The sequence below is a fragment of the Homo sapiens genome, chromosome 14 (assembly GCF_000001405.40).
Source record: "Homo sapiens chromosome 14, GRCh38.p14 Primary Assembly".
Classification (NCBI taxonomy): domain Eukaryota; kingdom Metazoa; phylum Chordata; class Mammalia; order Primates; family Hominidae; genus Homo; species Homo sapiens.
Genome location: NC_000014.9, coordinates 22,226,359 through 22,250,821, shown reverse-complemented (window position 1 = coordinate 22,250,821; position 24,463 = coordinate 22,226,359). Strand labels below are relative to the sequence as shown.

Sequence of the window (24,463 nt, the reverse complement as noted above, 5' to 3'; positions counted from 1 at the left end):
AAAATGTGAACTCGGATGTCTTCTCCCCTCTCTTCAGTCTTTTGGTCATGAGATTATTGAAGCTACTGGACACTTTCCCCAGCAAAGTGTGAGGAAGCTCACTCTGAGTGCACTGACCTGCAGAGCCCGTGGGACACTGAAGGTATTTCCTCTGAGGTCACTGACCCCCAGACTGCATCCAGTGGTCTCACAGGCTCTTTGATGCTGTGGTGGTCAGCAACACTCAGTCCAGACACAAGTGGAGACCGAGAGAAAACGTGGGAAGCAGGTGAGCTAAGTGTCCCTGAGCAAACGGTGCATTTCCTCCGGATGATATAGAGGAGAAAATTTTGATCGAAGTGTCCAAAGAGGCTTGGGCATAATGAGTGTTTGGAATGGTTGGGGAAGGAAACTAAAGAAGAAAAGGTGTGGGAGTGGATGAGGGAAAAGAGAGAAGAGCAAAGGTGACAGGCAAAAATTCCTCCTATTTTAATTTTATTATTTTAAATATGTTCTGACAACTTGGAAAAAGTTCTGAAAAGTCTGACTAGGTAAATATAAGTAAGAATAAAAGTGGATAAAGGTGAGGTTTATGAAGTTTTTAAAAATTAATTCACAGAATTATGTGTAAATTTTCATTTGTTTGTTTTGCCAGGTGAAGGCTAAATGACCCCCAAAGTGAAACGTATTAAAAATGTACATAAATGACAAATAAGCACATGAAAAGATACCCTCCATGCAAATGTCACTAGGGAATTGCAAATTACAACAATGAGCGACCTCTCCACACCAGATAGAATGGCAAAAATCCAAAACACGGACGATACCAAATGCCAGTGAGGGTGTGGAGCAACAGGAATTCTCCTTCCTTGCTGGTGGGAATGCAAAATGGTACAGCCATTTTGGAAGAAAACTGGCAGTTTCTCACAAAGCTAAACATATTCTTTGCATATGATCCAGAAATTATGCTCTTTCTTATTTAAGCAAATGAGTTCAAAATGTGCATGAATTTATAGCAGCTTCCTTCATAATTGCCCAAACTTGGAAGTGGCCAAGATGTCCTTCAATAGGTAAATAAACTGTGGTACATCCAGACAACAGAATATTATTTAGCACTCAAAAGACATGAGGTATCAAGCCATGAAACACATGGAAAAATCTGAAATGCCTATTGCTAAGTGAAAGACGCCAATCTAAAAAGGCTATATACTGTTATGACTCTAAGTATATGACATTTTGGAATAGTCAACACCATGGAAACAGTAACAAGATCAGTGGTTGTCAGGAGCTGGGGGGAGGGAGGAGTGAACGGGCAGAGCACAGAGGATTTTGGGGCAGTGAAACAACCTGTATGAGACTGTAATGGCGGCTACACGTCATTATATATTTGTCCAGACCCATGTAACGTACAACACCACTAGAGAACCCTAATGTAATCTATGGACTGTGGGTAATAATAATACGTCAATGTAGCTTCATCAGTGGAACAAATGTTATCACTCTGGTGGAAGATGTCCATAGCATGGGAGCCTGTGGATATGTGAGGCCTGGAAGTATATGGGAAACTCTCTACTTTCTGCTTAATTTTTCCGTGAACCTAAAATTGCTTTAAAAAATTAAGTCTATTTAAAAAACAAAACGAAAGTCAACAGGTAACACCTATAATTCATGTTGCAGCCAGGCACGTTGGCTCATGCCTGTAATCCCAACACTCTGGGCAGCCAAGGCGGGTGGATCAGTTGGGGCTAGGAGTTCGAGACAAACCTGGCCATCGAGGAGAAACCCCGTCTCTACTAAAAGTACAAAAATTAGCTGGATGTGGTGGCACATGCCTATAATCCCAGCTACTCGGGAGGCTGAGACAGGAGAATCGCTTGAACCCCGGAGGCAGAGATTGCAGTGAGCCCAGATCATGCCATTGCACTCCAGCCAGGGTGACAGTGTGAGACTCCATCTAAAAAAATAAGTAAATAAAATAAAAGAATAAAATGTATGTTGCAAGAAGTAGTTAAAACATATTATTTAGAAATATGGAGCTCACTGCTAGAAGATCCAGACTTAAAAGTGTAAATATTTATGGACAAGGATTGAAAGTTGGAGAGAAATAAGAAACCAGATTTGTAATACAGACTTTTCTGTACTATTCAGGAATTTAAAAAATAAACATGTACATGTGCCACTTTGGTCATAGTACTGCTAAAAATCAACAAGTAACAAAAATTGTTGGCTATTAAGCAAATATTAAAAATTAGTAATTTTTCCTTATATGGAATAAATTTCTCTAAATGAAGAAAAATTTCAGTAATAATGCAACACAGATGATACAATATTTAGCAATTGATTTAATAAGAAAAGCAGAAATCTGGCCAGGTGCAGTGGCTCACACCTGTAATCCCTGCACTTTGGAAGGTCAAGGCAGGAGAATTGCTTGAGGCCAGGAGTTCAAGACCAGCCTGGGCAACACAGTGAGACGCCATCTCTAAAAAACAAAATTAGTCAGGCATGGTGGATGCCTATAATCCCAGCTACTTTAGAGGCTGAAGTGGGAGGATCATTTGAGCCTGGGAGGTCTGTGCTGCAGTGAGCCATGATTGTACCACTGCACTCCAGCCTAGGCTGCAGAGCAAGATCCTGTCTCAAAAAAAAAGAAAGTGGAAGGTATGTAAGAAACAAACAAACATGCAAAATTTACTTTTAAAATAAGACCTAAATAGATGGATTTTTCTTTTGTGGAAAAATATAATGTCCTAAAATGTTAAACTTTCCAAAGTAGTTACAGTCAGAATGCCATTTGTTTGAACAAGATGAAATGCATAAGAGAGAACAAATATCTAGGAACTTTCAACTGCATTCTTGAAAAGGAATATTAAGATCAGTTTTTTTATGACATAAAAACTTACTCTAAACTACTCTAAACAAAACAATATGATATAAGTGAAGGATTAAGCCAATAAGCGGAACATTTAATAGAAAATACCCAAAGAGATCCAGATATTACTGTGCTGACTAGAGCATTTCAAGTCATGAGATAAATGTGAGTGTGAAATTGTTTTCATTTTTTTTTCACTTATCAATCATCTCTTTTCCACTGGGAAACAGGTTATCCTTTCTCTTTTAGTTACTAAAGCAGTTTTGTTCCAACTATGTGTGTATTCATTTTGAACTTAATTAGTATTTTAGAGTCAAAGCTCTACCCTCCACCCACACCCAGCAGGAAGACTCTGGGAGCTCCACTGACAGGTAGATGTGCTATTCTTTCAGACTTCACCCCATGTCAACCCTCAGCTGTTGGGCAGAGTGGTGGGAGAAATAAAGGACTCTCTTTTCAGCCTCTCCTGGGCTGAGGGGCCTTGTCTTCTTGGTTGCTCAGATGCTGTTTCCTTATGTGAATTTCTCAGGGTTCTGATGGAGAGGTTCCTTCTCCTTCCTGTTGGTTCTTATCTCTTCCTGGCCATGGATTCCCTCTTGGTGGCAGAAATCCAAATGTGTGCTTTCTCACAACGGTGTGCTAGTGTTTTCTTCAGGGGGCTACAGGGCCCTTCATCTGCGTGATTTCCTGGAGTGGTGATCGTTCTCAAGCTCAACCTCCTCCTCCTCCTCCAGTTCACACATGGGTCAATCCACAGCCTCCTGTGCTAGAGCCTTCCCCTAAGTGACAGCTGTTTGGAGGCAGGGTAGGTTCAGGTTCAAGTTGGTTCAGACCTATACAGATTCATTAAAACCACTAGTACATGAAAAATTGCCTCAATAAAAGGTGGGAATGCAGGCTACCACACTTTCTTTTTCTCTACTTTCTCCCACATTTTATGTCTTTGCCACAAGAACCAGAGACGCTCTGCCAGTTCAGAAGCTGATTATCTTCCAGACATGTGATGATAGCTATTCCTCAACTTAGTGGAGTGGGTGGAAGCTGGACTAGGCACCTCCGGTCATATAGGAAAGGAGTTGAGTAGGATAAGTTAAACATCTTCCTCTCTCTGCACAAGACTTGCATTTCCCCAAGATGTCACCCCTTTATACTTTTAGTCCATCCTTTAATCTCTCTTTGGTTAACATCAGTCAAACTCATTGGCCTTTCTCACCCCAGTGGAATGGCTAATAATTTCTCCTTTCAAACTGGCACTGGAGAATTCAGTGATTATTTTCACCAGCACCCAGTTCCACTGTGATTCTTACATTATTCTGTAATGTTTGGATACTGGTAAAGTTCTTAATATGGATGTATATAATTTGATTATGTTTAAGAAACATAAAATATGACAAAGACATTTCAATAGTGGAAAATAGATTTCATATATAAAAACAGTTTCCAGATGGTTGAAAGATTTTATTGTAAAAAGCAAAATGATAAAACTGTTGTCTAAGAATCTGGGAATATTTATATAAACCTGTACTATTTTTAAGTATGGTAGAAATGCAGAAGATATAAAGAAGACAGGCATATTTAACTATATACAGTTTAGAGTATATTTAGAGGCAAAGGATACCATGCTACGTGCTATAAACAAAATCAGAAGACAAACAATAGACTGGAGAAATAAAAAAAATTTTTGACATCTCTAGCATGCATTTTTAAGTGAGAAATATATAACCTAAAAGAAAAATGGACAAAGATGTAAAAGGCGATTCAGAGGAAAAATTCCAATTGGTCACACATTTATTAACAGATTTGTGGCCGGGAGTGGTGGCTCACGCCTGTAATCCCAGCACTTTGGGAGGCCAAGGCGGGCGGATCACGAGGTCAGGAGATCAAGACCATCCTGGCTAACAAGGTGAAACCCCGTCTCTATTAAAACTACAAAAAATTAGCTGAGCGTGGTGACGGGCACCTGTAGTCCCAGCTACTTGGGAGGCTGAGGCAGGAGAATGGTGGGAACCCAGGAGGCAGAGGTTGCAGTGAGCCGAGATCATGCCACTGCGCTCCAGCCTGGGCAACAGAGCGAGACTCCGGCTCAGAAAACCAAACCAAAACAAAACAAAAAAAACCCCAAGCAGATTTGTTCCACTAGGAGGGATTTTTGCCTATATTTATATAAGCAGAAAGAATAGTGGGAAAGGACACTTATCAGGTTATTAATATTATTTACTTCAGTAGGGAGCAGATGAGTGAGAATTAACTTTTTCTTTATAAAACTTTTTATTACTTCATCTATTACAATAAGCAGTATTATTTTATATTTTGAAATATATCAAATAAAAAGTTAAAGAAAAAAGAAAAATAATTAGATTAAAATAAAGTACTGTTTTGTTACCTGCTAAAATTTGAAGGAGAAAGTCAATTTAAGGACTGTGGATTGAAAGCACTGCTCAATGAATGCAGTTTGAGAGGGTTTTTCTTGCAACAGTTACCTGTTTCCTGTCCATACTTCATGAATGCTGTCCACAGGCTCACATTTTTTCAGTTTAGGGCCCGTGGATCTCTCCCAGTCCCTGTGGCAGATGAGTCTGGGGTACAAGCTCTGAGTATTTTGTTTTTTGTTTTTTTTAACTACAACTTTTATTGTTCCTCTTACTGTAGATGTCTTGAGTGCACAGAAACTGTTTCCTGAGTCTTTTGGTCTCATAACTGAAATGGTGAGAATGACAGTGTTGGCAGCTATTTGCAGGTTCACAGAACATTTTTTATTCCTTGCGTTCCTGGATGCTCCTAAACTCTGAGAAATCAGGTGAAATATTTCCTCACTGGAATGCTGCCCAAAACAAGAAAGAAAATAAGTTGAGCTATTTGCAAAGTACTTGCATTTCACAAGCTCCCCTTCTTGTGTAAAGATCCCATGTTGGGACTGAATAACCCTTTCAGTACTGCTGAATCCTGCAGAGGAAACAACAATGTCAACAGCAAAAGAGAACTGGGCAGATCTGATCTGTGACTCACAATGAGCTGATACTGAAGAGCCTTGTTTAGAAACCCCCATGTCCTGTCCGGGCGCGGTGGCTCATGCCTGTAATCCCAGCACTTTGGGAGGCTGAGGTTGGCGGATCATGAGGTCAGGAGATCGAGACCATCCTGGCTAACACAGTGAAACCCCATCTCTACTAAAAAATACAAAAAATTAGCCGGGCATGGTGGTGGGCGCCTGTAGTCCCAGCTACTCAGGAGGCTAAGCCAGGAGAATGGCGTGAACCCAGGAGGTGGAGCTTGCAGTTAGCTGAGATCACGCCACTGCACTGCAGCCTGGGCGACAGTGTGAGACTCCGTCTCAAAAAAAAAAAAAGAAAAAAAAAAGAAACCCCCATGTCTTAAGAAAATTGTCCTGACAGCAATAAAAAGCACAGCCTGGTTTCTATCACTTCTTTTTTGTCCCCGGCCCAAAGCATCTTTCAGATGTGCCCCAGGTGTCTTTCCTCCCTCAGTCCATCCCTGCCTACTGGGGAAGATGGAGGCCACAGTTGGCCGCAGCAGGTGGGGCAGTACATGTTGACAGGCCTTCTCATCTCCCTGAATAAAACATGTCTTGTCCTGCCAAAACCTAGGGCTCAGCTCTGCATGCACAGCCAGCCTCAGGCAGAGCACTGGAGTTGTGCGATGCTGCAGCCACAGAGCTGGAAACAGGGCTTCTGATATAGTGTGCAGACCTCTATCATGTCCTGACTCTTTATAGTTATCTCACATGTATGCCTGTTTTATTCCTTAGTAGAGAACAAACATCAGGTTTTGTTACCAGGGGTTCCTTGCTCCCAGAGCTCCTAAGATGGTGGCAAGCCACTTCCAAAATGGCGGTGGGCCACTTCCAAGATGGTGGTAAGCCTCGTGTTCTCTGACCTGGGGTTCTTGGCCTCACGGATTCCAAGGAATGGAATCTTGGGCCATGTGGTGAGTGTTATAGCTCTATTAGAAGCCATGGGTCATGGAAGAGAACTGTGGAACCCAGTGACTACTGTTCAGCTCGATTAGGATGAACCCAGGCACTTAGCCATGCAGGAACAATGGCAAGCCTTTAGCCCGATCGGGAGTAGCAACGGGTGCCTCACTGGATCAGGAGCACAGCAGACACCCTGCCGGATCTGGAGGGATGGAAGTCAGCGGCAGGTCTGCGACGGCAGCAAACAGCAGTGGTGGATGGTGAGCGAAAGCTCAGCTCCAGCCGTAACAAACATGGACCAGAAGAGTGCAGTTGCAAGATTTAATAGAGTGAAATAGAGTAAAAACAGAGCTCCCATACAAAGGGAGGGGACCCAAAGAGGGTAGCCGTTGCCAGCTCGAATACCTGGGTTTATATCCTGATCATTGTCCCTCCCATTGTGTTCTCAGGTGATAGATGATTGGCTGTTTCTTTACCTCCTGTTTTAGCCTAATTAGCATTTTAGTGAGCTCTCTTTCCTACCTGATTGGTCAGGTGTGAGCTAAGTTGCAAGTCCCGTGTTTAAAGGTGGAAGCAGTCACCTTCCCAGCTAGGCTTAGGGATTGTTAGTCAGTCTAGGAAATCCAGCTAGTCCTGTCTCTCAGTCCCGCCTCTCAACAGGAAAACCCAAGTGCTGTTGGGGAGGTTGGCTGATGACCACTCTAACTGCTTTCTGCTGAATTGGGGCGTAGTAGGGGTTGTGCAGTTGAGATTTCCTCAGGAGGGGGTGCCTTCGATGTCATTAACATTGGAGCGTGGGCTAGCAGGCTGGTCCAGGGGTCTGTGGTGGATCTTAGTCATGGACTGCATCTGTGGCTCCATTTGAAGAACTATTTGTAATTTTACAGCTTTGATTCTGGAAGAGACAAATTTAAGAAGGAGGTTAAAGATACAGGGATTGAAATGTATGGCCTGCAGTGCAGGGGATTATTTCTTTGGCAGACTTTACAGGCCCTGACTATCTGCTTGATAGTTTTGAAAAGGCCTGGTCCAGTAAATAATAATTTGGCCATCTCATGGGTGCTATCAATGCCTAAGTGGAAGGTTTGATGAAGGGTTTTAAGTAATTTCTATTGGTTAGCTGCAGGCAAAAGTATTTTTCCTTTATTGGTGGCTAGCCATCTGGAGGGGAGGGAAGTATGTCCTCATGAAGTTCCCTATTCTATTTCTCCTGCTGAGTACTGGGGCTTGGCTTCCCGGAGGGGATTACCCCATACTAGGGGTCCTCCTATAAGCATTTCTAATGGAGGGTCCAGCCTTGTGGCTCTTTTGACTTCAATATCAACTTGGTGGCTCCCTTGTATTTCCCTTTCCTTTCCTTTCTGATGACCCCGGCAGTGTAAAACTGCCACCTCTTTAGGTTTCTGTACAGCCAATAATAATTTCCTAATGGCTTCCTGATGTTTGATAGGTGTTCCCTCGGAAGTTAGGAATTCCCTTTCTCTCCATATTGCTGCATGGGCATGGAGGACTAGGTAAGCACACTTAGAGTCTGTATATATATTTACCCTTTTTCCTTCTCCTGATTCTAGTACCCGAGTGAGGGCTATTAGTTCTGCCAGCTGAGCACTAGTTCCTGGAGTGAGGGGATTACTTTCAAGTATTCCATTATCACTGACCACTGCATACCCCACTTTTTGAAGTCCTTTTTCTACAAAGGAACTTCCATCAGTATACAAGTTGAGGTGGGGATCAGTCAAGGGAACCTCTAAAAAGTCCCCTCGAGCGGCATAGGTTTGAGCAATTACTTGTTGGCAGTTATGTTCTATCTTTTCTTCATTGTCTGGAAGAAATGTGACTGGGTTAAGAGTTACACAAGTGCGCAGTTGCAGCACTGGCCCTTCAAGTAATAGAGCCTGATATTTAAGTAAACGGTTGTCTGACAGCCACAAGTCTCCTTTAGCAGTGAGTATGGCATTCACATCATGAGATGTCCACACAGTAAGATCTCTTCCCTGTATCATTTTAACCACTTCAGACACTAAGACTGCTACTGCCACCACTACCTGTAAACAATGAAGCCAATCCTTTGCTACTACATCAATTTCTTTACTCAGGTATGCCACGGGTTGCAAGCTAGTCCCTCAGACTTGTGTGATGGCTCCTAGAGCTATTCCTGTTTTTTCTGTGACATATAAAGAAAAGTCTTGCCCCTTGGCAAGCTTAACACTGGGGCTTGGGTTAGGGCCCTCTTTAGGGCCTGGAAAGCTGCTTCTGCTTCAGGTGTCCATCTTACTAAATGGGTATTGGCTTTCTGAGTTTCTTTAATTAGTGTATATAATGATCTGCCTATTTTGCTGTACCTGGGAATCCACATTCGGTAGAAACCTGTTATGCCAAGGAACCCTCTTAGTTGCTTTAGGGTTTTGGGAAGAGGATAAGCCAGTATAGGCTGGATGTGTTCCTCACTGAGGGCCCTCAAGCCTTTGGATAATTTTAGCCCTAAGTATTTAACCTGCTGTGAGCAGAGCTGAGCCTTTGGTTTGGAAACCTTGTAGCCACAGGTGGTGAGGAAATTTAAGAGCACTTGGGTGGCTTGATGGCACAAGGTTTCTGAACAGGTGGCTAAAAGTAAATCATCCACATACCAAAGGACAAGAGTGTCCAGGTATGAGAATTGGCTCAAATCTTGGGCTAATGCCTGGCCAAATAGATGGGGGCTATCCCTGAACCCTTGGCGTAAAACAGTCCAGGTGAGTTGAGACGTTGAGTTTGAAGGATCTTCAAAGGCAAACAGGAATTGGGAATCAGGATGTACAGGGATGCAGAAGAAGGCATCCTTAAGGTCCAGGACTATATACCACTCTGCTTCCTCTGGTATTTGGGAAAGCAGAGTATAAGGGTTAGGTTCAGCTGGGTATAGAGGAACAACAGTCTCATTGATAATCCTGAGATTTTGCACTAACCTCCACTGTCCGTTGGGTTTCTGTACTCCTACAGTTGGAGTACTGCAGGGGCTACTGCATGGTTTTACTAGGCCTTGGGCTTTTAGGTCCTTAACAGTTTTTTGGAGTCCTTGTTGGGCCTTGGGTCTAAGGGGGTACTGCCTTTGGTAGGGAAAGGAGGCGGAATCCTTTAGTTTAACTTGAACAGGATGGGCATTCTTTGCTCGTCTATATTGTCCTTCTGTTGCTTAGACTTCAGGATTAATTCCTTTCTCAAGCAGGGGACAACAAATGGGTGTTCCTTCTGCTATGTTCAGGTGTATAATGGCCCATGCTTTTGCTAGAATGTCTCTCCCTAACAAGGGAGTGGGGCTTTCACGCATAATTAGAAAAGCATGTGAAAAGAGTAAAGTTCCCCAGTCACAACTCAGTGGCTGGGAGAAGTATCTAGTGACTGGCTGTCCTAGGACCCCTCGGATAGTGACAGATCTGAAGGACAGTTGTCCAGGACAGGAGAGTAAGACTGAGAAGGCCACACCAGTGTCCAAGAGACAGTGAACCTCCTGGCCCTCAATGGTCAAGCATACCCAGGGCTCTGTGAGGGTGATGGCATGGGCTGGCGCTTGCCCTGGGCATCCTCAGTCCTGCTGCTGGATTATCTGGTTAGTGGCTTCTGACTCAGAGGACCTTCATCTCCTGGGGCAGTTGGCCTTCCAGTGATTCCCTTGACATAAGGGGCATGGACAAGGGGGCAGCTTGTTTCTACTTGGACAATCTTTTTTAAAGTGTCCTTGTAGACCACACTAGAAGCAAGCCCTGTTAGGCATTCAATTTGCTCAGCTTTTCCCTTTTCTGGAGCCTCCAAAGTCCATTTGCCTGAGGGCCACGACTAAAGCAGTCACCTTTTTTTTTTTTTTATCCCATTTGTCCCATTCCCCTGCTCTTCCTGATCTCTATTATAAAAAACTGAGGTTGCCAAGTTCAGTAGGGTTTCTAAGTTTTGCTCTGGGCCTAAGGCATACTTTTGAAGTTTTTTCTTAATGTCTGCAGCTGACTGAGTGATAAACTTATCCTTTAAGATTAGTTGGCCTTTAATAGAGTCAGGTGACAGGGAGGTATGCTTCCTCAATCCTTCCCTTAGTCTCTCCAGAAAGGCAGTAGGATTTTCTTCCTTTCCCTGTGTTATAGGGGACATCATTGAATAATTCATGGGCTTCTTCCTAGTTTTCCTTAGTCCTTCTAGCACGCAAGTTAGCAAATGTCTGTGGCACCAATCTCCAAGTTCTGATTCTGTGTCCTAATGAGGGTCTACACTGGGAACTGCCTGCTGGCCTGTGGGGAATCATTCTCTTTCATCTGTTGTCATCCTATCATTGACCTGACTGAGATACCAGAGTTCGCCAAACTCTCAGGCTGCTGTTATGGCAGCACTTTTTTCATTTGGGGTTAGTGTCTGATTTAGCAGTAACATTATATCTCTCCATGTCAGATCAAAGGATTGTCCTAACCCTAGTAAAACATCAATATAGCCATCAGGGTTATCTGAGAATTTACCTAGGTCTATTTTAATTTGCTTTAAATCTGAGAGAGAAAAAGGTACATGCACGCTGGCTGGGCCAAATTCTCCTCCCACTGCTTGGAGCGAGTATAATCGTGTAATATTGGCACTCTTTGGTTCATTGTTTACCCCTTTGTCTATCTCCTTTTGGACCATTTGGGTTGAAGGGGGGTCCTTATTAGTTGGAGAAGGAGTTGGGGTCTTGCTGGGGTAGGGAGGTAGACTCTGAGGGCTTCCTGTAGGGCATAAATCACACTTTTTACATAATTGGGAGTTATCTCTTAATGAAAAGAAAGTTTGTACATATGGCACTTCACTCCATTTGCCTTCTTTTCTACAAAAGAGGTCTAGCTGTAAGATGGTGTTATAATTTATACTTCCCTCAGGAGGCCAGGTTTCTGCCCCTTGAAGAAGATATCGTGGCCAGGTGGTACTGCAGAAGAATATAAGTCATTTCTTTCTTAGTGTCTGATGGTCAGATTGGTCCCATTTCTCCAGAATACATCTTAGGGGCATTTCTGCCTTGGGGGGAACATTTCCCATCTGAAAAAAGAACATAGGGATGCCAGTACCCCTAGTCATTTTCCGATGAGCATTAGTCCTAGAGTGTCCTCTATAGTCCTAATGCTTATTCCTTTCCAGGGTGCGTAACCACCCATGGACCTCTGCTTATCGGATTAGTTATGCTTACCAGTGTAGCAGTCCTGCACCTGTTTTCCCACCTTTCTTGACCACAAAGAAAGTGGTCCTGGCTGCTGGATTCTAGCGGTCCTTTACCAGCATGCCCAACATTGCCTTTGCTCTCAGGGGTGAGTCCTAGATCTGGGCTAGTTTCCTGAGTATTTCATAACAACCCAGCTGCCCCATCAAGATGCATTCCCATAAACAACAGTTCTTATGCAAATTCATTTCAGAGAGGGTGTAGGTAACCTTTTGAGTCAGGATTGAGATAGTCTTTTGATTCTGTAATTACTTTAAGGCTTGGCTGAGTGCAAACAGCTCGCACATTTGAGGAGACCAACTATTGGGCAATTTTTCTAACTCTGCTTCCGCAAGAGTCTCCTTATCAATTACTGAATACCCATTGTGGTTTTTTCCTCAGTCACTTGGGAGGAACCATCTATCATCCTGTCCTGAAGGGAGTTCTTCCTAGGTCTGGTCGGACCTTTGTATGGTAATTAAGATTTAAATCCCCTGTTAGGAAATCTGCTAGGTTAAGGGAATTATCAGAGGTTGGAGTTACATTACCCTTTTCTAACAGAATAGCCCCATACTTTAAGATTTTTGAGTTAGTAAGCTACCTTTTTGCTTTTTTGACTTAGAATAATTCTGAACTGGTGAGGTGTGCTCACAATGAGGTTTCCTCTAAAAGTTACTTTTCTGCTTTTAGCAAAGCAGTTGCCGGTACTGACTGAATGCATTTGGCCCATCCGTGGGTTACTGGGTTAAGGATTTTTGATAGGAAAGCTACAGGTTGTCAGTGGCCTCAGTGCTTTCGGGCTAAGCCCTTATTTACACTGACAACAAAGTGTAAATAAAAAAGTATTGGAGTGTTATAGGGTCATGGACAAGACCTTCAATTATCAATTACAGGTTTTAAATTTACCCTGGCTTTTAAAGGAACAGGGCACACTTTTCTTTTTCTATTTCTATCTTTTTCTCTTTGACTCCCTCTTTGTCTCTCTCTCCATCTTTGTCTCTCTCTCTCTCCATCTCTCTCTCTCTCTGTCTTCTCTCTGTCTCTCTCTCTTAGCCATTACAAACTTGGGGCCCTGACAAGGGTGGTGGGGAATGTGTCCCACATAACAGCCCATGTTGAGAGCCGTATACCTAAATTGGGAGGGACACCAGGGATAAGACTCCCTGGGTTATAGCCTAAGTGCCTAAGGACACAGTGTAGAGCTTCCTTAGATCCCTTTGGAGATACAACTTGCTAGAGGAAATGAAAGTCTGAACCATTAGTACCTAGGAGGCAGGGATCAGAGGAAGTAGATTCAGAGGTAAGGAGAATTTTGGGGCTACACTTTCAAGAAAGTTGTGGTCGGGACCCAGGAGGTATGGGCGACTGTTGACTAGAGACTTCTGGCTGCGCCATGGTCTCAACCGGCTACTGCTGGGAGTTCTGGATGAGAGCTTTCTGCCTCTAGTCAGTCCTCCACTTCCCCAAGAAAGTTGAAAGTGGGAGCTGGCTCCAGGCAGACCAACGTCCCCAACCCAGAAGGGTTGGGGGTTGTTAGAAAGCTCTTCCCCAGATAGCCTCACACCTGAATCTTAAGTCCGGTGGCCACGCTAACCATTTTTAACTGGCAGACAGGTGCCCAGTATTTTCCTCCAATTCTAAGGAAGGATAGGACAGAATAGTGAGTGAAAGTGGTCCAATATTACCACTACTTTGGAGGTCCCTTCATGGTCACCAAAATGTTACCGGGGGTCCTTGCTTCTAGAGCTCCCAAGATTGTGGTGGGCCACTTCCAAAGTGGCGGCAGGCCACTTCCAAGATGGTGGCAAGCCTCGTGTTCTCTGACCTGGGGTTCTTGGTCTCACAGATTCCAAGGAATGGAATCTTGGGCCATGCGGTGAGTGTTATAGCTCTATTAGAAGCCATGGGTCATGGAAGAGAACTGTGGAACCCAGTGACTACTCTTCAGCTCGATTAGGATGAACCCAGACACTTAGCTGTGCAGGAACAATGGCAAGCCTTTAGCCCAATTGGGAGTGGCAATGGGCGCCTTGCTGGATCAGGAGCACAGCAGACACCCTGCCAGATCTGGAGGGATGGAAGTCAGCAGCAGGTCTGCGATGGTGGCAAACAGCAGTGGTGGATGGTGAGCGAAAGCTCAGCTCAAGCCATAACAAGCATGGACCAGAAGAGTGCAGTTGCAAGATTTAATAGAGTGAAATAGAGTGAAAACAGAGCACCCATACAAAGGGAGGGGACCCAAAGAGGGTAGCCATTGCCAGCTCAAATGCCTAGGTTTATATCCCAATCAGTTTGATTCCCCACTGTTGAGTAATTAAAATAGAGATATGCTTCTTTGGTTGGAGACAAAGAAATGAGGGAAAAAATGAACAACATTGACCATTGTGTTGCATTGAAAAATTTCCAAAATATGGGAGAGAGGGGTTTTTGTTATTTTTATTTTTATTATTAGTATTTATTGCCTAATAGCCATAAGAACAGAGCCAAGTGAGAGGTAATTTTCAAGAGAAATCCTACATACAAATTTGCTTGGGATATTAGGTTTCTGTGAAGAAAACCTTTCTCTTGCCACTAAACATGTTGGAAATGAGAAAGACAGAAGAACTTTCTAAAGTCAGAAGATTTGATTTGTCTTTCATTCTGCCACTTACTAATTATGTGACCTTGGCAAATTAATCTTTCTGAACCTTAGTTGTCTACTTTGTGGAGAAATAATATTATTACTATCAGTATTATTAAATATAGCATATTGATAGAATGATTTACTTTACATGAATTAAAAGGAAATGAGATGATCTCTATCAACCTGGCTAGTCTTCAAGTCTATTTTGTTGAGTAAAATGAAAGGAAATTGTGGAGAAAAACATATCATATGTAACATTTAGTTAAAAAATGCCATAAAATCATAGTTTATATTTCCCATGAGTATGTACATTTATATGTGCGTATTAATAAAGATAAAGAATTTAAAATGTAAATTATAAACGTGTCAATTGAGAAAAATGGTGAGACAAGTCTCAATCATTTTAGGTTTGTTTGCCAAAGTTAAGGATGTGTGCCCAGGAGACAGGTCTATGACTTTCTCCGAAGATGATTTTGAGGGCTCCAGATTTAAAGGGGAAAGGGTGGGATATTGAGAAGTATACAATTTTTAGGTAAGAGAAGGGTAGGGAAAAATAGTTATTCATGCCTTTGTCTGGCTTAGTGAATCTGCTTTTTTTTTTTTGTATAAGATGACATAGATAAATGGGGCAGAGGAAAAATGCAGGGAATTTGCATTTTTACACAAGATAACATAGGCAAAATGGGGCAGGGGAACAATCAGATGTGTATTTATGTCTGGTGGACAGGGGTTGACTGCACCTGTAAAGATAATAAGCTATCAGTTTACATTGCCAAGGCGAAATTTTTTTTTGTTTTTTGTTTTTTTTGAGATAGAGTCTCACTCTGTTGCCCAGGCTGGAGTGCAGTGGCACGATCTTGGCTCACTGCAAGCTCCGCCTCCCAGGTTCACACCATTCTCCTGCCTCAGCCCCCGAGTAGCTGGGACTACAGGCGCCCGCCACATGCCTGGCTAATTTTTTGTATTTCCAGTAGAGATGGGGTTTCACCACGTTAGCCAGGATGGTCTCAGTCTCCTGACCTCGTGATCCACCCACCTCGGCCTCCCAAAGTGCTGGGATTACAGGCATGAGCCACCGCACCCGGCCTTCCAAGGTGAAATTTTAACAGAGACACTATAGGGTAAAGATCTTGCAGCTCACTAGGAATTTCCTTGTGGGCAAAATATGGTGGAGTCATGTAGCTTTTCATCTTGTAGCCATCTTATGTAGGAACTGAAAGGGCAAGGCAGGTTTGCATGGCCCAGTTCGCAGCTTAACTTTTCCCTTTGGCTCAATGAGTTTGGGGTCCCAAGATTTAATTTCCTTTCACAAACCCAGAGCAACATTTAGCTCTGGGAAAAGAGAACAGATGAAAACATGAGCAGAGAGGACTTAAGCTTTATCTTTAATGTTCCAACTTAAAAAAAATGACAAGGTATATAGCCTTACCTAATCTTCCTTCTTGGAAAACCAGAGATGGTTTTCCCATGTGATGTCAATGAAGAATTCTTAATTTTTGGTACAATCAGCTCAATCTTCTAGCTACTGAGTCTACTGCAGAGAAAATAGAAAAGAACTGAAAATAGTTTTTTCCTTATTTGCCCATATCAAAGATAGGTTTGAGACACAAATAATATTTCAGCAGAGTTTCTGTCAGCAGGTCTTGGGGAATAATGAAGAAGAGGACTTAGTTAAGGGAAGGGAACCAGAAAATTGATGCCCCAGAGTTGAAGAAAGGAGAAACAGCTGAGGCACAGAGCTGGGGTTGAGATCCTTGTTTGTTTGTTTTTCCACTAGCTACAACATTTGGAGTCAAGAGAATTTTTAAAATGTTATTTATTGTAGGCACAAGTTCACAGTTATTCCATGAAAAAAATAAAAATTAAAATATTGCAAGTACATACACTAAATAATTTCATACTTTCAGTTTTGCATCAAAACTTCCAGTTTTTATCTATGTGCTTCATTCATTCGATATTAGTGTGAGCATATGGTTATTATAGGAACTCTATGTTTTCTCTAACTGTATGTCAAGAGCATTACTATGTTTTTAGTATTATTAACTCATTAAATAGTTGTAAAGTATTCAGTCAAGTTGCCATCCAAATTCCTCTAACTGGTTGAGAAATTTTTACTATTTTCTTGCCTAGAGGGTTTTTTCTACTTAAAATCAATCTTTAATATAAATTCTGAGAAATGGATCAAAGGTGTTCATTCAGTTTCAAACAGTTCAAAGGCATGAACTGTTTAATGAATCTCAAAATCCCTTTCCAAGTAATTCACTGTGTAAAAGATTGTACCAATATATTGTGTTGCTACCAGCAGGGTGTGAAAATAACTTTGCACAAACTGAAAATGAAAAAGATTACATATTTTATTTTATGCATTAGTGAATGTTTCCCATAGTTCATTGTTTTTAAAAGTTAGTTTTAAACAGATCTTTGAAAATTATTCTCTAATAAAAGTATTTTTCACTTTTTTATAAAAGAAATTATTGTGATATTATTTGCATATTTGTCCCAACCCACATCTTATGTTGAATTATAATCCCCAATGGTGGAGGTGGGGCCTGGGGGGAAATATGTGGATCATGAGGGCAGATCCCTCATGACTTGGTGCTGTCTTTGCAATAGTGAGTGAGTTCTCACAAGATCTAGTCATTTAAAAGTGTGTGGCTCCTCCCCCTCACTCTCTCTGTCTTGTGTCTGTTCTGGCCATGTGACATGCCTGCTCCCCTTTTGCCTTCTGTCATGATTGAAAGCTTCCTTAGGCCTCCCCAGATGCCAGCACCATGCTTCCTGTAAAGCCTGAAGAGCCATAAGCCAATTAAACCTTTTTTTTAAATAAATTACCAAGTTTCAGGTATTTCTTTATAGTGGTGCATGAAAGGCCTAATAAAGCAAATTGGTACTGAGAAGTGGGGCATTACTATAAAGATACCTGAAAATGTGGAAGCAGCTTTGGAACCAGGTAACAGGCAGAGGTCTGAGAAATTTGGAGGGCTCAGAAGACAGGAAGATGAGCGAAAATTTGGAACCTCTTAGAGACTGGTTAAATGATTGTGACCAAAATGCTGATAGTGATATGGGCAATGAAGGCCAGGCTGATGAAATTTCAGATGGAAATGAGGAACTTATTGGCAATTGGAGCGAATGTCACCCATGCTATTCCTTAGCAACAAACTTGGCTGCATTGTGCCCCTGCCCTAGGGATTTGTGGAAGTTTGAACTTCAGAGTGATAATTTAGTATATCTGGTGGAAGCAATTTCTAAGCAGTGAAGCATTCAAGAGGTGACCTGGCTGCTTCTAATAACCTATGCTCAGATGCAGTAGCAAAGAAATGGCTTAAAGCTAGAACTTGTATTTTAAAAAGCAGAGTGTAAAAGTTTGGAAAATTTGTAGCCTAGCCATGTGGGAGAGAAAGAAAAAGATTTTTCAGGAAAGGAATTCAAGCAAGCCTCAAAGCAACTGCTTGCCAGAGATATTTGCATAACTAAAAGACAGCCAGATAGCCAAGACAATGGGGAAAAGGCTTCAAAGGCATTTCAGAGATGTTTGCAGCAGCCCCTCCCATCACAGGCCTTGAGGCCTAGGAGGAGAGAATGGTTTCAGGGGCCAGGTCCAGGACTCTGCTGCCCTGCACAGCCTCAAGACACTGCTCCCCACATCCTGGCCACTCTGGCTATGACCCAAAGGGGCCCAGGTACATCTCAGGCTGCCACTTTGGAGGGTGCAAGCCATAACTCTGGGCAGCTTCCATGTGGTGTTAAGCCTGCAGGCACACACAATGTAAGAGTGAAAGAGGCTTGGCAGCCTCCACCTAGATTCAAAGGATGTATGAGAAAGCCTGGGTGCCAAGGCAGAAGACTGCTGCATGGGGAGAGCCCCCACAAATAACCTCTACTAGGGCAGTGTGGAGGGGAAATAGGAGTTGGAGGCCCCACACAGAATCCTCACTGAAGCACTGCCTAGTAGAGCTGTGGGAAAGGGGTCACCATCTTCCAGATCCCAGAATAGTACATCCACTGGCAGCTTGCACCCTGTGTCTGGAAAAGCCAGACACTCAACAACCTATGAGAGAAGCTGTGGGGGTGGCACCCTGCAAAGCCACAGAGGTGGAGTTGCCCAACGCCTTGGGAGCCCACCTCTTGAACCAGTGTGTCCTGGATGTGAGACATGGAGTCTAAGGAGATTATCTTGGAGCTTTAAGATTTAATGGCTGCCTTGCTGGGTTTTGAACTTGTATGAGACCTGTGGCCCCTTCTTTTGGCCAATTTCTCCCTTTCGAAATGGGAATGTTGACCCAATGTGTATACTCACATTATATCTTGGGAGTAAATAACTTGTTTTTGACTTTACAGACTCATTGGTGGAAAAGCTTGACTTGTCTCAGATGAGACTTGGGACTTTTGAGTTAATTCTGGAATTTGTTAAAACTTTGGAGGACTATTGGGAAGGTATGATTGTGTTTTGCAATGTGAGAAGGAGATGAGACTTAGGAGGGATCAAGAGTGGAATGATATAGTTTGGATATTTGTCCCCATCCAAATCATGTTGAATTGTATTCCTCAGTGCTAGAGGTGGGGCCTGGGGGGAGGTGTTTGTATCATGGAGGTGGGATCCCTTATGGCTTGGTGCTGTCTTTGCTTTAGTGAGTGAGTTCTCACAAGATCTGGTTTAAATAAAGTGTGTTGCATCTTCCCCCTCACTCTCTCTCATTTGCTCCTGCTCTGGCCATGTGACATGCCTGCTCCCCCTTTGCCTTCCACCATGATTATAAGCTTCCTGGGGCCTTCTGAGAAGCCAACCAGATGCCAGCACCATGCTTCCTGTAAAACCTGCAGAACCATGAGCCAATTAAACCTCTTTTCTTTATAAATTACACAGTCTCAGGTATTTCTTTATAACAGTGCAAGAATGGCCTTATACATATTTTTTAAGGTGTCATTTGCTGTCTGATTTCCAAGCCCTCCTAGTGACTGGGGCAGTTACTCAGCAGCCAGTGTGGTGCAGGCTTCACTGTGAACTGCTAGACCTTGAGGTTTCCGGCCTGCAAGCAGTAAGGTGCTAGTGCTGCTGCAGACTATTGAATAAGGCTCTAAATTAAATCTTCCTTCCTCTTTTACCTTTCATCTATCACCAGTCCAAACAAAGATGCTAGGCTTTGCTCACATCCAGATTAAATGATAGGATTCTGTTAGGAGTGTAGTTTGAACCAGTGCAGGAAGTGGCAGGTGCCCTCTTCCTCTACCAGGTGGGCTGAGGACCCACTGCCTCACTTGGCCTCTCTTCTCCATCTAGGGAGGTCAGATCTGACACCAGAACATGGCTGTAGTCTTCCCAAGAATTTCTCTCTTCTCTCCCACCACCCACCTAATGCTAAATGTCTTTCTCTTCTCTTTAGTCTTGTGAGGAACTCTCTCCTGTTCTTGTTCAGATCACGATAAATGCCCAACTGCCCTGGTCTATGAACTCAGGAGCTAGTGTCTCGGGGTCCTTTTGTCCTCTGATTGTTGGATTTGCTGAGCATACACTTTTAAAATCCTGGCACAATGACCATTGATCCCTGGGCAAAGAAGCCTTCTCTATCTAGGTCTTGCATGTATGTTTTTAGGGTTATTATTATTATTATTGTTATTGTTGTTATTATTTTACCAGTAGGAGTATATAGAAGATTCTCAGATAGTGAAAGAAGGGTCCTTTGAGGTCAAAGTAGTTAGACAGAGAGGGAGAGCAAGAAAAGATATTTGCCATTTGCTGAGCATGTAGGACATGCTAGGCACTTAATCCAAGTGTTAAAACCATGTCTCATAAAAGCTTACAAATTAGAATTGCTATCTAATTTCAGGAAATGGAAACTCTAAAAGCTCAAGCTATTTGCCTACAAATTACTATATATAGCTATTATTAAAGCAGAATTCTCCTGATCCAGTGTCTTCCACTTACAATGACGCCTTTGCAAAAAAAAAAAAAAAAAAAAATCAGTGTGGTTATAACAAATGCTCTCCTTCCTCCTGTGCGCTGGTGTTTTTGTATGACACCCCTAGAAAGTGTTCTTTTTGTGCATCTCAGCACACAGTAATATAAGGCAGTGTCTGCAGGAACCAGATTTCTAATGTACACATTTATTGCATTTGCTGTACTCTTTGAATAAACTTTCCTATGGCAAAACTGGCATCTCCTTTTCCAGAATATCCCCACCCTCTGTAGAGAATGTATTCTGATGCCTGGCTCGGATACTGTCAAAACCAGCAGAGATCAAGATAGCTCCCCGATGATGTACCATAGTTACAAAGTAGGTTCACAGTCTTCCCTTCTGTTCCAGATACTTCTGTCTCCTGGGGCTTGATCCAGTCTGCTCTCCCAGACCCTGTAATGTAAAACACTCAACAGTCATAGGTCAAACCAGCCACCTTCTCCAGAAGGGCCACTCTGGGTACAGGATAGGGCTGTTACCTTGGAGAGCCAGTGTTAGAAGTGAAGTGAAGATAAAGTTGCTATTCATTGTTTCTTCTGGATTCCTGATTTATGACCTTATGTTTTTCAGTGACTGCTTCAAACTGGTAGCATTTCATAATCAAGTCACTGAGATGAGTTTTCTGGAAGCTTTTTATCACAACTCACAGGTCAAAAGTGGGAGGATCTTAACCATGTAGATTTTTTTAAGGAACAGAAACACCTATTTTTGCAGTGACTTTGAGAAACACTCTTTGTTTGAAATAAGTTGAATTCCCCACATCTCTACAGACTTATTTTTTCATGTTCATTGATACAGGTGAAATGGAAAGCAAAATGCTAAATAGTTAATAGTGGTAATGTCTGTAGGTTGAGGTTATAAATTTTTTTTAATTTGTTTTTTCTTTTATAACAAATGGATATTTAGTCTTAGCATTAAAATACATGTTATTTTGGTGACAGGTTGATCTTTTGAGATGTAAATTGTTTGGTTCTCATTAGGATAGGAAACAATAAAGAGTGAAAAAAGAAACTTCCCCCTTCCAACTGCACATTCCCATCAAAGACAGCTAAATCTCTGGCTTCTAAATCATAAACTCTTCACACCGCAGAGCCAGACACACTGGGCATCTTGCATAGGGTTTCCCGCTCTATTTTTCAGTCTTAAATAAATGACTGTCAGAGTTTCCTCTTATATCCACTGTGTGATTTCTGGGTTTTGATGCAGATAGAAAGGAGAAAGGAAAATGGACAGAAGACTGTGCAGGCTAAAAATGGCAGGATACATTCTATTAATTTTTATACTGTTTCTTCCCCTCCTCTTTGAATGTTTACCTGCCCTTTTCTCAGGCTATCTCCCCATTTCCCAGACAGTGAAACCTAAACCATGCCCAATTTGCAATGAATTGTCTAATGAACTCACAAGCACGGGTGGCCTTTACTGCCTGTCCTCTCCTACACAGAGATGGGATATTAAAGCATTCTACCCATAGGACAGTCATTCAAATAAATTCTCAGGAGAAATAGGTCTTCTTGTAATTTTAAAACATTCCCAATTGAAGAGAGCACTAGTCTACAGTGATTTGAAGAGCTAGCAATCAAAAATCTTGTTTTAATGCTGTATCATTTGGCTATGTATAGTCATGTCTATTCCTCATTGTAATTAAGCTACTGTGAGTGTCAGATAATTATCATATAATGCAGTTCAGCCTACTTGGATTTTGGTATTTTAAAATGTATATTTTTCTTTCTGAAATAATAATAGTATTGAGTTCATAGTAGATAATCTGAAAAATAAAGAATATTATAAAGGAGTAAAACAATGAACAGTATTAAGTTCAGTATTCAAAGATAACTAATACTGTTGCAAACTTTTGGAGTTATTTTATTCACATATTATTGCAAATGTTATTTTATTTACATGTTGAACACATTATTTTCGTATTTTGTGTACATTTTTTACACATAATTGTGGTCACACTGTGGGTAAATTTTCTCCTCAGTGATGTTTAACATCAGGGCATGTAATAGACAAAGTATAGTTTGGAGTCATAGACCTGATTTCAGATTCTGTTATAGTTATTTGTCTGGGGTAGGAGGTGGGGAAGGGGGCTTAATCTTTCTGAGTCTGCATTTCCTAATATGTTAACAGAAAGTAATATTGATGATTTATCAAAGTGATTTTGAGAATTCAATGAGATGATATTTGCAAAATACAAGGTACATAATACTTGCTTTCAATAAATGGTAGCTTCCATTGCAAGCTCTTTGTAAATACCATACATATGATTACATAATTCATTGAAAGAGTGTATCACAACATAAGTAGGCTAAGTTTATGTTAGCTTCACATAACTTACTTCAACTAACTCCTTTCTTTTCGTAGGCTGCTTAAGGTTCTAAGTACACAAATTAATGTGTAATATCTTGAAAAATTCTATCACCACTTTAATGAAGTACCTAGCATAGGCAACAATCCTAAAATGAAGATAGTAAGTAAGAATAATGCAACTGAGAATGAAAACCTTTTGTTTTAATCAGGTAATGATACCTGCTTGTTCCTACCCTTTGTTCTTTGCTAGTAGGTCCAGAAAAAAATGTTATAGGCAGAACTTTACCTATAAATGTGCCTGTCCTGGGAAAGAAGCTAAAACATCCATAGCTGTTAGGTAGATTCCCTAATGTGTAGTGCACATATCAGTTGCCTGTACAATCCTGATAAAAGGGCTTGCTTTCTACCACAGAGCATAATGGTGTGGCAATGGAGTTAGTATCCTGAGTGACCCTCTAGAAATATTAGCTATGCTGAATCCCATAGAAAACTCACAGAGAAAGTAGTGAATGCAGCGATATGACTCTGAGTTAGGATTCAGTAAACTGCAAAAGTAATTGTCAACATAGGCACAAGGATTTTGACCAATAACTGCTTTTCCGTATAGTTTATTTTTGAGGGCTTGCTCAATGTAGCAAGTTCCCCATCTTACAGTTGCAGAGCCTCAGCTGTAGAATTTGAGTACAGGCTGCAGGTGACTAGGGAGCACTGTGCCTCCACAGCACAGAGGTAGATGGCCGAGTCTCCGGTCTGGGTGGCTGTGATGTTCAGGATGCTGAAAAGTTCTTTCTTATCTAATATGCTACTTAGTCTTCCTGACTTCTTTTCAATTCCACTTGAAGTTAGCATAAATAGAAATGTGGGAGCTTTCTTTTCCTGCTTGTACCATAGTAGGCTTCGAAAGTTAGTCACTTCATAACTGCAATTGAGAGTTACGGTGTCTCCCTCGTGGACAACCAGAGATAGAGGGCTTTGTACCACCTTGTCTTCACTGCTCACCCCTGTGTAGAAAAATGTGATAATTATTCACCGTTGGAACCACAGGGCTCCCAGACAATAAGTCAGAACGAAGTCTACTTTACCCTTTTAGTGTTCTGAGGATCAATCCTCAGGTTTCCTGGTTGCCCCTGACCCTTTGTAGTAACCCTACTTACAGCTCAGTAGAAGCCAAAAGATAGCTAGTAAAGCCTGTGGACACTTCATCATCCTTCAGTTATCAAGTGTGTTTTCCTGGGCAAAACGTGATTCACTACCTTTAAGCGTTTCCTTTTCTTTTTGAACCATCACACTCTACCCCTAGCGTCTGCCTGTGTGCGCGTGCGTGCACACACACATGCACACACACGGACACAGACACACACTCAGAAAAAGGGAAATAGCAATTTGGCAATTCAGCCAACCATTAAAAAAAGTGTCATTTGGTTCTATTTAAATTCAAATCCCTCCCACTCAATCACCCATGGAAGTCATTCAAAATAGAACACCGCCATCTTGTGAGCTGGTGCAGAATAGCTGAAAACTAGTGTCCACATGTTTTATGAAAGATGGTAGATACTTCTAAAATTGTCTTACCATTGAAGGACAGGCTACCCAAAGCTGTCCATAATCT

General features: G+C 42.0%; 1 gene segment (V, D, J or C) and 1 further gene, besides 4 other annotated features; both read right to left on the bottom strand.

Annotated features, from left to right (window-relative positions):
* TRA (T cell receptor alpha locus) overlaps window positions 1-24,463 on the bottom strand; it is a 930,229-nt gene that overhangs the window by 301,311 nt on the left and 604,455 nt on the right.
* Window positions 23,529-23,537: a recombination feature (nonamer).
* Window positions 23,538-23,560: a recombination feature (spacer).
* TRAV36DV7 (T cell receptor alpha variable 36/delta variable 7) lies at window positions 23,568-24,060 on the bottom strand. The segment is given in 2 exon segments: window positions 23,568-23,855; window positions 24,009-24,060. Coding segments are annotated over 2 exon segments (340 nt in total), but the record flags the coding sequence as incomplete, so codon positions are not given.
* Window positions 23,845-23,855: a sequence feature (TRAV36DV7 leader sequence).
* Window positions 24,009-24,060: a sequence feature (TRAV36DV7 leader sequence).